The sequence below is a fragment of the Homo sapiens genome, chromosome 7, assembly GCF_000001405.40.
Source record: "Homo sapiens chromosome 7, GRCh38.p14 Primary Assembly".
NCBI classification, from domain to species: Eukaryota; Metazoa; Chordata; class Mammalia; order Primates; family Hominidae; genus Homo; species Homo sapiens.
Window position 1 is genome coordinate 66,538,732 of NC_000007.14, and position 13,309 is coordinate 66,552,040.

A 13,309-nucleotide genomic window follows, 5' to 3' on the forward strand; every position below is an offset into this window, starting at 1 on the left:
AATCATGGCGTACTGCAACCTTGACTTTCCAGGCTCAAGCGATCCTCCCACCTCTGCCTCCCAAGTAGCTGGGATTACAGGCACACACTACCATGCCCAGCTAATTTTTGTTTGTTTGTTTTTTTGTAGAGACAGGGTCTTGCCATGTTCCCCAGACTGGTTTCAAACTCCTGGCCTCAGCCTCCCAAAGTGCTGGGATTACAGGCATGAGCCACTACATCTGGTCAGTTCCTGGTGTTATTGACAAAGGCATTTAGACCCACTCCACCCCTCCCACACTCTGGAGGTGGTCAGGACGCCTCCCCAAACCGCCAGCCCCCTCAGCCAGCCCAGCCCCACTTTCCTGACACGCACACTCCCGCCACTTCTGGTTCACCGCCTGGGACCTGTGTCTCACGTAGAGCTGCCATAGTGTGCTATTGACTGCCCCGTAGTGTCACTGCTGGTTAGCCGCAGCCTGGTTTAGGGTTGCACTTCTCCCCAGACCAGGCAAGACTTGGAAGGAACAGGGGAAGTTTCCTGATTGGCTAATGAGTGTTAAGCACCTGAAATTACAGGATACTACAAGTTTCCTTGTGTCTTACTTGCCGCTCCCAACTGCCTTGGAGGTCTGTGTGATGAGCCCCAGAGTGCAGATGAGCCCACATCCTTGGAGCTTTGGGCCCCGTGTGGTGGTCACCTCCTCTGGGAAGCCCTCCCTGCTATAGGCTCCCATGGGCCATGTAAACCAGAAAGTGCCTGAAACAGGTCTCAATCGATTTAGAGATTTATTTTGCCATGGTGGAGGACACAGCCAGGAAAAAGAGACTCAAGCTGCAATAGGGTCTGTGGCCTGTGCTTTTTTCCAGAGAGGATTTTGAGGACTTTGGTATTTAAAGGGGAAAGAGGGGGGCTGGGCACAGTGGCTCACGCTTGTAATCCCAGCACTTTGGAAGGCCAAGGCAGGTGGATCACCTGAGGTCAGGAGCATAATGGGCAGCATAATGAAACCCCATCTCTACTAAAAATACAAAAAATTCAACACGCGTGGTGGCGGGTGCCTGTAATCCTGGCTACTCTGGAGGCTGAGGCACAAGAATCACTCGAACTCAGTAGGCGGAGGTTGCAGTGAGCCAAAATCATGCCACTGCACTCCAGCCTGGAAAACAGTGAGACTGTCTCAAAAAATAAAAAAATAAAAGAAGAGGAATAGTTAATGATGTATTCATCCTGTGCTCAGTAAATCTGCATTTTACATAAGATAATGTAAACAGAATAGAGGAAGTTAAATACGTATTTGTCTTGGGTGGACAGAGCGATAATTTCTATTCTTGTCTTTGTCCCCTGCCTGTGAAGATAAGCTGTGAATTTACATGACCAGGGTGAGGGAAGCCACCCGGGAGATAGGTGACCTTCTGTCTTACAGCCATCTGCTTAGGGACAAAAGGCTATTGAATGACTCAGTTCCCAAGCTTAACATTTCCCTTTGGCATAGTGAGTTTGGGGTCCCATGTTTTTTGTTTTTTCTTGAGACGGAGTCTTGCTTTGTCACCCAGGCTGGAGTGCGGTGGCGCGATCTTAGCTCACTGCAGCTTCCACCTCCCAGTTCAAGGGATTCTCCTGCCTCAGCCTCCTGAGTAACTCGGATTACAGGCACACACCACCACACCCAGCTAATTTTTTGTATTTTTAGTAGAGACACGGTTTCACCATGTTGGCCAGGCTGGTCTGGAACTCCTGACCTCAAGTGATCCACCCACCTCGGCCTCTCCACCCGGCCTGGGCCTCATCTTTGAGGGGCCTGCTAAGCTTCTTTCTATCCTGCAAGCTTCGTAGAGCTCTGACTTTGAGTCTTGCTCTGTCCCGGAATAGGAGAAGACAGAGGCGTGGCACTGTGGGCTGAAAGCAACAGATTTAGGGGAAACTATCTTTAAGACTAAGCCTTCTTTCTATAGCTACTGTCGGGGAGGCCGGGCATGGTGGTTCACATCTATAATCCCAGCACTTTGGGAGGCTGAGGCGGGCGGATCACCTGAGGCCAGGAGTTCAAGACCAGCCTGAGCAACATGGTGAAACCCTGTCTCTACTAAAAATACAAAAATTAGCCAGGCATGGTGGCAGGCACCTGTAATTCCAGATACTCAGGAGGCTGAGGCATGAGAATCAGTTGAACCCAGGAGGCAGAGGTTGCAGTGAGCCAAGATCGTACCACTGTACTCCAGCCTGAGTGACAGAGCGAGAGCGAGAGAGAGAGAGAAAGAAAGAGAGAAAGAAAGAAAGAAAGAAAGAAAAAAAGAAAAGAAAAAGAAAGAAAGATGAAAGAAAGAAAGAAAGAAAGAAAGAAAGAAAGAAAGAAAGAAAGAAAGAAAGAAAGAAAGAAGGAAGGAAAGAAAAGAAAGAAAAACTGTAGGGGAATCTGAGACACCAGGAAACCCAGGGCTCATGGTAGAGTGGAAAGACCAGGGCTTTGGGGTCGACACAGAGTACTCTTGGTGCTTAGTGGCTGTGTGACCTTGGGTAAGTTTCTTTACCTCTCTGAGCCTCTGTGTCCTTGGCTGCAGTGTCTAGGAAAGCATCTGCACACAGTGATGTGTGTGGTCCAGGCCATCCTTTCTCTGTTCTGTGCACCCACGGCCATGCCTGCTGAGAATCCTGCCACCAATGATTCCTCAGTGGCATGGGGAGAGATGGAACGTGCCGTTGCTTCCCTGCAGGTTCTAGGAGCTGGTCTTTGGGCCCAAGACTCCAACACCGTTGTCTGCATGGGATTTGGACAAGGGTGACCTTGATCCTTCCCACATCCCACTGCTGAAAGGAAGGGCCATGTTGGGCCACAGGAGATGAGAGTTCTAGGGGATGTGGAGCGTGGGGTCTTGGTGTGGCTGAATTAGAGGCATTACTCCATGAGATAGGGACACGGGAGGAGGACGTTGTCTGGAATGGCTGATATTTGCGGTGTCTTTGGGTACCCAGGGGGGCTGGTGGGCTGTGCCTGAAGACAGATGCAGCAACTCAGAGATGTGTAGAGATTCCTGAGTGTAGGTGTGGACGGACCAGGCCAGGGACCTGCAGGGTTTGGGAGGACCTGAGGGGGTGGGTGTTGGAGCCCTGGGAAAAGGAAGAACCAGGCCAAGCAGGTGCCCAGCCTCTGTCCTGTGGGAAGCTCCCTGCTCTTTGGGCAGCCCCCACATTGAGAATGGGGCCTCCATTCTGGCAGCTTGTGCACGGGAGGCCAAGCGACCCAGATAGGGTCTGCAGACTCCAAGCAGCACAGAGCACCAGCCCAGGAGATGCAGTTCCCAAGGCAGCCTCCTAAACAGAAGTGAGCTCTTCCCAGAGTTTTCAAGATTAAAAGAGCCAGGCACAGTGACTCACAACTGTAATCCCAGCACTTTCGGAGGCTGAAGCAGGAGGATCACTTGAGCCTAGGAGTTCAAGAATAGCCTGTGCAACAGAGAGAGATTCTCTCTACAAAAAATTTTAAAAAAACTTAGTCTGGCACGGTGATTCATGCCTGGAGCCCCAGCTACTAGAGAGGCTGAGTGGGGAGGACTGCTTGAGCCAAAGAGTTCAAGGCTGCAGTAAGTCATGACGGCACCACTATACTCCAACCTGGGAAACAGGGTGAAACCCTGTCTCAAAAAACAGGAGCCAGGCTGGGCACCATGGCTCACGCCTGTAATCCCAGAACTTTGGGAGGCCGAGGTGGGCAGATCACCTGAGCTCAGGAGTTCAAGACCAGCCTGGCCAACATGGCAAAACCCCATCTCTACTAAAAATACAAAAATTAACCGGATGTGGTGGCAGGCGCCTGTAGTCCCAGCTCTCAGGAGGCTGATGCACGAGAATGGCTTGAACCTGAGAGGCAGAGGTTGCAGTGAACCGAGACTGCGCCACTGCACTCCAGACTGGGCAACAGAGTGAGACTGTGTCTTGGAAAAACAAAGAGAAAAAAAAAAGGAGTCATTTTGTTCCAACGACTCATCAGTCTGCTCTGCCCTGCCTCATCCGGCCCTAGCTCCCTGCCTGCTTCTAGCTTCACCCCCCTCAACATCTCACCCTTACCCAACCTGCCTGCCCCAGAGGCCCAGCCCATGTGAACCCATGCTTCTCAGAGAGATTTCCTGTTGGACATGCAAACCAGCCTTCCTGCAATCCCAGCCCCATCCTCAACCCTGGCACAAACCCACAGGCTGCTGCAGAGCTCTGCCCCAGACCCCATCTCCAGCCCAACCACCCCTCAGCCTTACAGCCCAGCTCAGGCCCCGTCTCCAGGGCTAACTGACCCCAGCAGCAACTCTAGGCTACAGGGAGGGGAGAGCGGAGCACGCCGGGGCTCAAGCAGCAGATAAGCCGTGACAGTTGCCAGGGCAGTGAGCAGGGAGAATGCATAGCCCCCACACTCCCAGACACAGTCTGTTTCCCATTCACAGACCTTGGCCAGCGAGCAGTCAGGGGATTTCCAACAGCCCAGCACAGTGACACCGGCCCCTGTGCACGGACCCCGCTAGGCCCATCAGTTGTCTCCCCTGTACCACCCCCAAGTTCAGCCACTTCCAGGACAAGGGATCTTTCTTTTTTTTTCTTTTCTTTTTTTTGTTTTTTGGAGACGGAGTTTCGCTCGTCACCCAGGCTGGAGTGTAATGGCGTGATTTCGGCTCACTGCAACCTCTGCCTTCCGGGTTCAAGCAGTTCTCCTGTCTCAACCTCTTGAGTAGTTGGGATTACAGGTGCCCGCCACCACACTCGGCTAATTGCTGTATTTTTAGTAGAGATGGGGTTTTGCCATGTTGGCCAGGGTGATCTGCCCGTCTCAGCCTCCCACAGTGCTGGGATTACAGGCGTGAGCCGCCACACCTGGCCAGCATAGGATCTTTCACCCTTGAGTGCCTGTGCATGGCTGGTCCTTCTGCCCCGGTGTCTTCACACTGCCACTCCATCCTTCACAAACTCCTACCTGCCTTTTCAGAGCCCATTTTTTTTGTTGTTGTTTTCATTTTTATTTGAGACAGGTCTCTGTCTCCCAGGCTGCAGTGCAGTGACATGATCTCTGCTCACTGCAACCTCCACCTCCCAGGCTCAGGCGATTCTCCTGCCTCACCCTCCCGAGTAGCTGGGACTACAGGTGCCTGCCACCACGCCCAGCTAATCTTTTTGTATTTTTAGTAGAGACGGGGTTTCACCATGTTGGCCAGGCTGGTTTTGAACCCTTGGCCTCAAGTGATCTGCCTGCCTCTGCCTCCCAAAGTGCTGGGATTATAGGCATGAGCCACCAATGTCAGGCCTTGAGAGCCCATTCAAGCATCCTGCTCTCCTGGGGGAGGTCTCCCCAGACTTGCCCAGACAGGATGGGCATCCTCATTCATGCCCCTTGTCTCCTAAGTGTGTCTGTTGTACTTTGGTGACCAGGTGACACCCCCTCTGGCTGGGAGACCCTCAGGGGAGCAGCCCTGCCTCTTTAGGTTGTTTTGTGCCCAACACAGGGCCTATGCTGGGGACACTGATAAGAAAATGTCGGATGGGCTGGCCACCGTGGCTCACACCTGTAATTCCCGAACTTTGGGAGGCCAAGACGAGGATCGCTTGAGGCCAGGAGTTCAAGATCAGCCTGGGCAACATAGTGAGACTCCATCTCTACCAAAAATTTAAAAAATTAGGTATGGTGGCACACATCTGTATTCCCAACCACTCAGGAGGCTGAGGCAGTATGGATCACTTGAGCCTGGTATTTGGAGGCTGCCGTGAACTATCTGATTGCACCGCTGCCTTCCAGCCTGGGTGACAGAGCAAAACCATGTCTCAAAGAAAGAAAAATGGATGGATGGACAGACCAACAACTGGGGCTAGAAACCAGCTACAGCCAGGCACAGTGGCTCACGCCTGTAATCCCAACACTTTGGGAGGCCAAGGCGGGTGGATCACCTGAGCCCAAGAGTTTGAGACCAGCCTGAGCAACATGATGAAAACCCGTCTCTACTAAAAAATACAAAAATTAGCTAGGCATGGTGGTGCGGTGCCTGTGATTCCAGCTACTTGGGGGGCTGACGCAGGAGAATCACTTGAACCTGGGAGGTGGAGGTTGCAGTAAGCTGAGATCGCGCCTCTGCACTCCAGCATGGGCAACAGAGCGAGACTCTGTCTCAAAAAATAAATTAATTAATTAATTAAATAAAATAAATACGTAACTAAACAAACAAACAGCTGCATGGGAGTAGGCAGGGCCTGCAGAGAATGTTTTGGCAGGTCAGGGATGCCTGGTGGGAGAAGCAGCAGGTCTGGTGGCCAAGCCAGTGCCAACTCTCAGGCCCCCTTGTCTTCCTCTTTAGATGAAGATGATACCAACAGACTTGGGGAGGTGATCCTGCAGGAGCAGGTGAAGGAACTCTTCAACGAGAAATACAGTCAGTGTCTGTGGTCAGGGTCAGCACACCAAGCCCTCCTCCCGGGGAAAGGGGGAGGCCCTCCCTCCCTCTGCAGCCAGCCTAGCCTTCAGGAGCCCCCAGCTGGCCTGCCTGCTCCCTGGGGACATGGCTGCTCTGCCCATGACCCACATTTTGTGTATGTTGATTTTCTTTTTTTTTTTTTAAACAGCGTCTCACTCTGTTGCCCAGGCTGGAGTACAGTGGTGCAATGTCTGCTCACTGCAGCCTCCACCTCATGGGCTTAGGCAATCCTCCTGCCCCAGCCTCTCAAGTAGCTGGGACTACAAGCGTGCGCCACCACTCCCGGCTAATTTTTCTATTTTTAGTAGAGACGAGGTTTCACCATGTTGCCCAGACTGGTCTTGATCTTCTGGGCTCAAGCGATCCACCCGCCTTGGCCTCCCAAAGTGCTGGGATCGCAGGTGTGAGCCACCACCTGACATCCCTTTCCGGAACCCCAACACGTACGACATCCACTGGCTGGAGAAGATCCTGAAGGCCCGAAAGCATGTCCACATGGTCATCATTAGCCAGCTGCAGTGAGTGCCCAGCCTCTGGAACGGGGAACAGAGAGGGCAAGACCATGGGGAGGGTGAAAGTCAAGGTCATGGTGGGTCAGCTGGGATCCAGACCCAGGTGTACTACAATAGTTCCTGCCTCTTTCTCCTGAAACATACAACTTCAACACTTATGGACATTTACTTATTTTTAAAGATTTTTTTTTTTTTAGATATTATATTTGTTCTCTGGGGAAGAAACAAAAACATGTTTTAATTAAATTTGACTGTTTCTGACTATACAATTCTGATTTTTAACATTTAAATATAAATACGTTTGTATTTAAATATCAATGTTTAAATATAAATATGAATATTTATTATATTTTTTAAAATAATTATAATTCCATAGTCTCAGTGATTACCTTTTTTTCTTTTTTTTTGAGACAGGGTCTTGCTCTGTCACCGAGGCTGGAGTGCAGTGGCACGATCTCAGCTCACTGCAACCTTCACCTCCTGGCTTCAACCCATTCTCATGCCTCAGCCTCCCAAGTAGCTGGGATTACAGGTGTGCACCACCACCCTGGCTAATTTTTGTATTTTTTGGTAGAGATGGAGTTTCACCATGTTGGCCAGGCTGGTCTCGAGCTCCTGACCTGAAGTGATCTGCCTGCCTCAGCCTCCCAAAGTGCTGGGATTACAGGTGTGAGCCACTGCACCCAGCCTCCGTTATTACTACTATACCATATATCCTTACAGTCTTTTGGGTTTTGGTTTTTGTTTTGAGACAGGGTATCACTCTGTTGCCCAGGCAGGAGTACAGAGGTATGATCCTGACCCACTGCAGCCTCAACAGGGTCTCACTGTGTTGCCCAGGCTGGTCTTAAACTCTTAAGCTCAAGTGATCCTCCCACCTTGGCTTCCCAAAGTGCTGGGGTTACAGTCGTGAGCCACCACACCCAAACTGTGTGGCCCAGTCTTTTTTTTTTTTTTAATACAATAGATGATTCGCTTATTTTCAGAACAATACACAAAACAACCTGGAAAATATGAAAAGATAGAAGAAAAGAAGATAGCTGTAAGTCTCCTACTGAAAGTCAACACTTTGATGCATTTCTTTATATTTTTAAATTATTATTTTATTAATATATTATTACTTTATTTTTGAGATGGAGTCTCATTCTGTCGCACAGGCTGGAGTACAGTGGCGTGATCTCAGCTCACTGCAACCTCCACCTCCCAGGTTCAAGAATTCTCCTGTCTCAGCATCCTGAGTAGCTGGGACTACAGGTACATGCCACCACGCGTGGCCAATTTTTTTAAAATATTTTTAGTAGAGACGGGGTTTCACCATATTGGTCAGGCTGGTCTCGAACTCCTGACCTCAGGTGATCCACCCGCCTCGGCCTCCCAAAGTGCTGGGATTACAGGCATGAGTCACCACGCCCAGACGTTTGTTTTTTTTTTTTTTTTTATTGCACAGGTTAGTCTCAAACTCCTGGGCTCAAGCCATCCTCCCACATCGGCCTTTCTTTTTTTTTTTTTTAAGATGGAGTTTGCTTTAGTTGCCCAGGCTGGAGTGCAAAGGCACGATCTTGGCTCACTGCAACCTCTACCTCCCAGGTTCAAGCAATTCTCCTGCCTCAGCCTCCTGAGTAGCTGGGATTACAAGCATGCGCCACCACCCAAGCTAATTTTGTATTTTTAAGAGACGGGGTTTCTCCACGTTGGTCAGGCTGGTCTCGAACTCCCAACATCAGGTGATCTGTCTGCCTCAGCCTCCCAAAGTGCTGGGATTACAAGCTTGAGCCACTGCGCCCAGCCCGCCTTCAATGTTATATTACATGTATTGTTTCTTTGTTTTTTTGAGATGAGGTCTTGCTCTATCACCCAGACTGGAGTGCAGTGGCACCATCTTGGCTCACTGCAACCTCTTCCTCCGGCATTCAAGTGATTCTTGTGCCTCAGCCTCCCAAATAGCTGGGATCACATGTGCCTGCCCCCACACCCGGCTAATTTGTGTATTTTTGTAGAGACAGGGTTTCACCATGTTGGCCAGGCTGGTCTCGAACTCCTGACCTTAAGTGATCCGCCTGCCTTGGCCTCCCAAAGTGCTGGGATTACAAACATGAGCCACTGTGCTGACCTGCATGTTTTTTTAAATTAAGATAATATTTGCATGTGTCAAAAAAACCCAAATTGTTCAAAATCAAAAAGTGGAGGTTTCCCTTTCTCCCACAGATAGTTCACCCCCCCGAAGTAACAACTAGAAAATGCAGGAAAACGGCCAGGTGTGGTGGCTCACGCCTGTAATCCCAGCTACTCAGGAGGCTAAGGCAGGACAATCGCTTGAACCTGGGAGGTGGAGGTTGCAGTGAGCTGAGACCATGCCATAGCACAACAGCCTGGGCAACAGAGCAAGACTCCATCTCAAAAAAAAAAAAAATTAATTAATTAAAAAATAAATTAGACGGGCATGGTGGTGTGCACCTGCATTCCCAACTACTGGGAAGCTGAGGCAGAAGGACTGATTGAGCCCAGAACTTTGAGGCTGCCGTGAGCTAGGATGGCACCACTGAACTCCAGCCTGGGCAAAAGAGTAAGACTGTCTCAAAAATAGTAATTGATAATAATGCTGTGATGACTATCCACTTGCATAAATCTGGGCACACGTTTCTGATCCCTTGGTCAGACAATATCCTCGCTTTATAGATGAGGACAGCAGACCTGGAGGAATGATTTGCCAGCCCAGGTCCATCGTCCAGGGCCTATATGGGGAATGCTCTGTCGGGACGGTGTGTTCCCCATTTTTATTTCGGTGTTACCAGGCTCCTGCAGCAGCAGCAGCACCACATCTCAGAGGGCAGGTGAGAAGGAGGGGAAAACGGCCAAACGCAATGGCTCATGCCTGTAATCCCAGCACTTTGGGAGGCGGAGGCAGGCAGATCACCTGAGGTCAGGAGTTCAAGACCAGCCTGGCCAACACGGCGAAACCCCGTATCTACTAAAAATATAAAACTTAGCTGGGCGTGGTGGCGGGCACCTGTAGTCCCAGCTACTCAGGAGGCTGAGGCAGGAGAATGGTGTGAACCCAGGAGGTGGAGGCTGCCGTCAGCCAAAATTGTGCCACTGCACTTCGGCCTGGGTGACCAAGCGAGACTCCATCTCAAAAAAAAAAAAAAAAAAAAAAAAAAGGAGGGGAAAACCTCATTTTCTAACTGCCACCTCTTTTCTTTCTTTTTCAGACCCTTTGCAGAAATCTGCAATGATGCCAAGGTGCCAGGTGAGTCGGAGGCAAGGAAGCCACCCTTCTGCCCTGTGGGGACTAGACTGTTCCTTTTGAAAAAAAGGTAGAGCCGGGTGCAGTGGCTCACGCCTATAATCCCAGCACTTTGGGAGGCAAGCAGATCACTTAAGGTCAGGAGTTCAAGACCAGCCTGAGCAACATGGTGAAACCCTATCTCTACTAAAAATACAACAATTAGCTGGGCGTGGTTGTGGGCACCTGCAATCCCAGCTACTTGGGGGACTGAGGCAGGAGAATTGCTGAACCCGGAAGGCGGAGGTTGCAGTGAACTGAGATCACACCCCTGCACTCCAGCCTGGGAGACAGAGCAAGACTCCATCTCAAAAAAAAAATGAAAAAGACAGAGACACCAGGAGTTGGAGGCTGCAGTGAGCTATGATTGTACCACTGCACTCCAGCCTGAGCAACAGAGCAAGACCCTGTCTCTAAAAAAAAAATTTTAATAAATTTTTTAAAGGCAGAGATAGATGTGGTCCAGGTGGGCATGCAATAGATGGCTTACCACCTTGAAAAAAATATAGCCCCTCTCCACCCTGGTGCCTCCCCAGGGAGCCTGAGGTCTCCATGAACAAGGACAGGTATCCCCAAGAGGCCCCCCGAAACCTGCAGGTGCCCTACAGAGGGAAGGCCCTGCCATAGCACCAATGAGTGTATGAGGTCAGCTAGAAGGACAAGAGGCAGGCTGGGCCTCAGGGAGGATCATGGGGGCCTCCTGGGTAGCAGAGGGGTAGCATGTGACTGACAGGGGTGAGGCAGGCGGGCACTGCCAGAGACTGGCTGGACCCCCTCCGTTCTGCTGGCATCTGCAGGGTATACAGAACCTTTCACCAGGCACCTGGGGGCCACCTGGCATGATGGTTCCGATTAAGGTGTATGATAGGACTTGGGAGAAATTACTCACGGGTGACTATGATGTGCACCCGATTAAGAAACACTGTATCCCAGCACTTTGGGAGGCCAAGGCAGGCAGATCACTTGAGAACAGGAGTTCGAGCCCAGACTGACCAACATGGTGAAACCCTGTCTCAACTAAAAATAGAAAAATTAGGGCCAGGCACGGTGGCTCACCCATGTAATCCCAGCACTTTGGGAGGCCAAGGTGGGCGGATCACCTGAGGTCAGGAGTTGGAGACCAGCCTGGTCAACATGGCAAAACCCCATCTCTACTGAAAATACAAAAATTAGCCAGGCATGGTGATGCATGCCTGTAATCCCAGCTACTAGGCGGGCTGAGACAGGAGGATCACTTGAACTTGGGAGGCAGAGGTTGCAGTGAGCCAAGACTGTACCACTGCACTCCAGCCTGGGAAACAGAACAAGACTCTGTCTCAAAAAAAAAAAAAAAAAAAGAAAAAGAAAAATTAGCCGGCATGGTGGCGCACGCCTGTAGTCCTAGCTACTTGGGCGTTTGAGGTGGGAGGATGGCTTCAGCCCAGGAGGCAGAGGTTGCAGTGAGTCGAGATCACACCACTGCACTCCAAGCTGGATGACAGAGCAGGACTCTGTCTCAAAAAGAAAAAGAAAAAGAAACACTGATTGGCCAGGTGTGGTGGCTCACGTCTCTAATCCCAGCAGTTTGGGAGGCCTAAGTGGGAGGATTGCTTGAGTCCCGGAGTTTGAGACAAACCTGGGCAACATAATGAGACCGTGTCTCTACAAAAAGTTTTTTCTCCCATCCAACTACTAACCAGGCCCAACCCTGCTTCCCTTCTGAGATCAGGCAAGATCAGGCGCATTCAGGGTGGTATGGCCATAGACCAAAAAGTTTTTTCTAAAAATTAGCCAGGCGTGGTAGTAGGCACTTGTAGTCCCAGCTACACAGGAGGCTGAGGCCGGAGGATCACCTGAGCCCCAGAGTTTACGGCTGCAGTGAGCTATGATTATGCCACTGTACTCCTGCCTGGATGACAGAATGAGACCTCATCTCTTCTTTTTTTTCCCCCCAAGACAGAGTCTCGCTCTGTTGCCCAGGCTGGAGTGCAGTGGCACGATCTCGGCTCACTGCAACCTCTGCCTCCTGGGTTCAACTGATTCTCCTGCCTCAGCTTCCCAAGCAGCTGGGATTACATGCACCTGCCACCACGCCCAGCTGTTTTTTCTATTTTTAGTAGAGACAGGGTTTCCCCATGTTGGCCAGGCTGGTCTCGAACTCCTGACCTCATGATCCACCCACCCTGGCTCCCCAAAGTGCTGAGATTACAGGTGTGAGCCACTGCTCCCGGCCTTCTTTTTTTTTCCCAAGACAGAGACTCGCTCTGTCGCTCAGGCTGGAGTCAATCTTGCAATCTTGACTTACTGCAACCTCCACCTCCTGAGTTCAAGCGATTCTCATGCCTTAGCCTCCCGAGTAGCTGAGACTTCAGGCATGCACCACCACACCCAGCTAATTCTTTGTATTTTTAGTAGAGGCGAGGTTTCACCATGTTGGCCAGGCTGGTCTCAAACTCCTGACCTCAAGTGATCCTCCCACCCCAGCATCCCAAAGTGCTGGGATTACAGGTGGGAGCCACTGTGCCTGGCTGAGACCCCATCTCCTAAGAAATAAAAAAGAAGAAGAAAGAAAAAATATTGATCTAATCTTACCCCACCTCATTGTACAGCTGGGAAGCTGAGGTGCAGAGATGCCAGGGACTTGCCCAGGCCACAAAGTGAGTCAGACGCTGTGCAGACCGTGCTGTCAGGACCATCCATCTGAACCACCACAGGGCCCAGTATGGCTGCTCAGCAGGGACAGTGATAGGATTCAGCAAGGCCACGCCACAACCTGGCCTGAGACCCTAGGCCCTGACTCCTGTCAGGACCAGGTTCACCTGGAACTCCACAGCCTGGGGTGGCATAGCCCAGCTAGAAGCCACCTCCTTCCACCAAGAGCTGATCACAAACCTGGGCCATGTAGTGAGACTGCCCCCGTCTCTGCAAAAAAATTAAAAATTAGTCAGGCGTGGTGGCGCGTACCTATTGTCCCAGCTACTCAAGAGGATGAGGCAGGAGGAGTGCTTGAGGCCGGCAGGTGGAGGCTGCAGTGAGCTATGATTGCGCCACTGTGCTCCAGCCTGGGCAACCGGGTGAGACACTGTTTCCCAAAAAAAAAGAGCCAGTTACAA

At 50.9% G+C, this 13,309-nt stretch overlaps 2 pseudogenes across 1 annotated transcript in view; one reads left to right on the forward strand and one right to left on the reverse strand.

Annotated features, from left to right (window-relative positions):
• LOC100420547 (GTF2I repeat domain containing 1 pseudogene) overlaps positions 1-6,940 on the forward strand; it is a 34,118-nt pseudogene extending 27,178 nt beyond the window's left edge.
• The window catches only part of RABGEF1P1 (RABGEF1 pseudogene 1), a 62,103-nt pseudogene that overhangs the window by 8,427 nt on the left and 40,367 nt on the right, over positions 1-13,309 (reverse strand). Inside the window, exons 7-9 of the transcript NR_111973.1 lie at positions 13,089-13,118; positions 6,870-6,955; positions 2,511-2,631 (exon numbers count right to left, since the gene is read on the reverse strand). The product of NR_111973.1 is annotated as an RABGEF1 pseudogene 1, transcript variant 2 (transcript). The remainder of the gene's footprint in view (positions 1-2,510; positions 2,632-6,869; positions 6,956-13,088; positions 13,119-13,309) is intronic.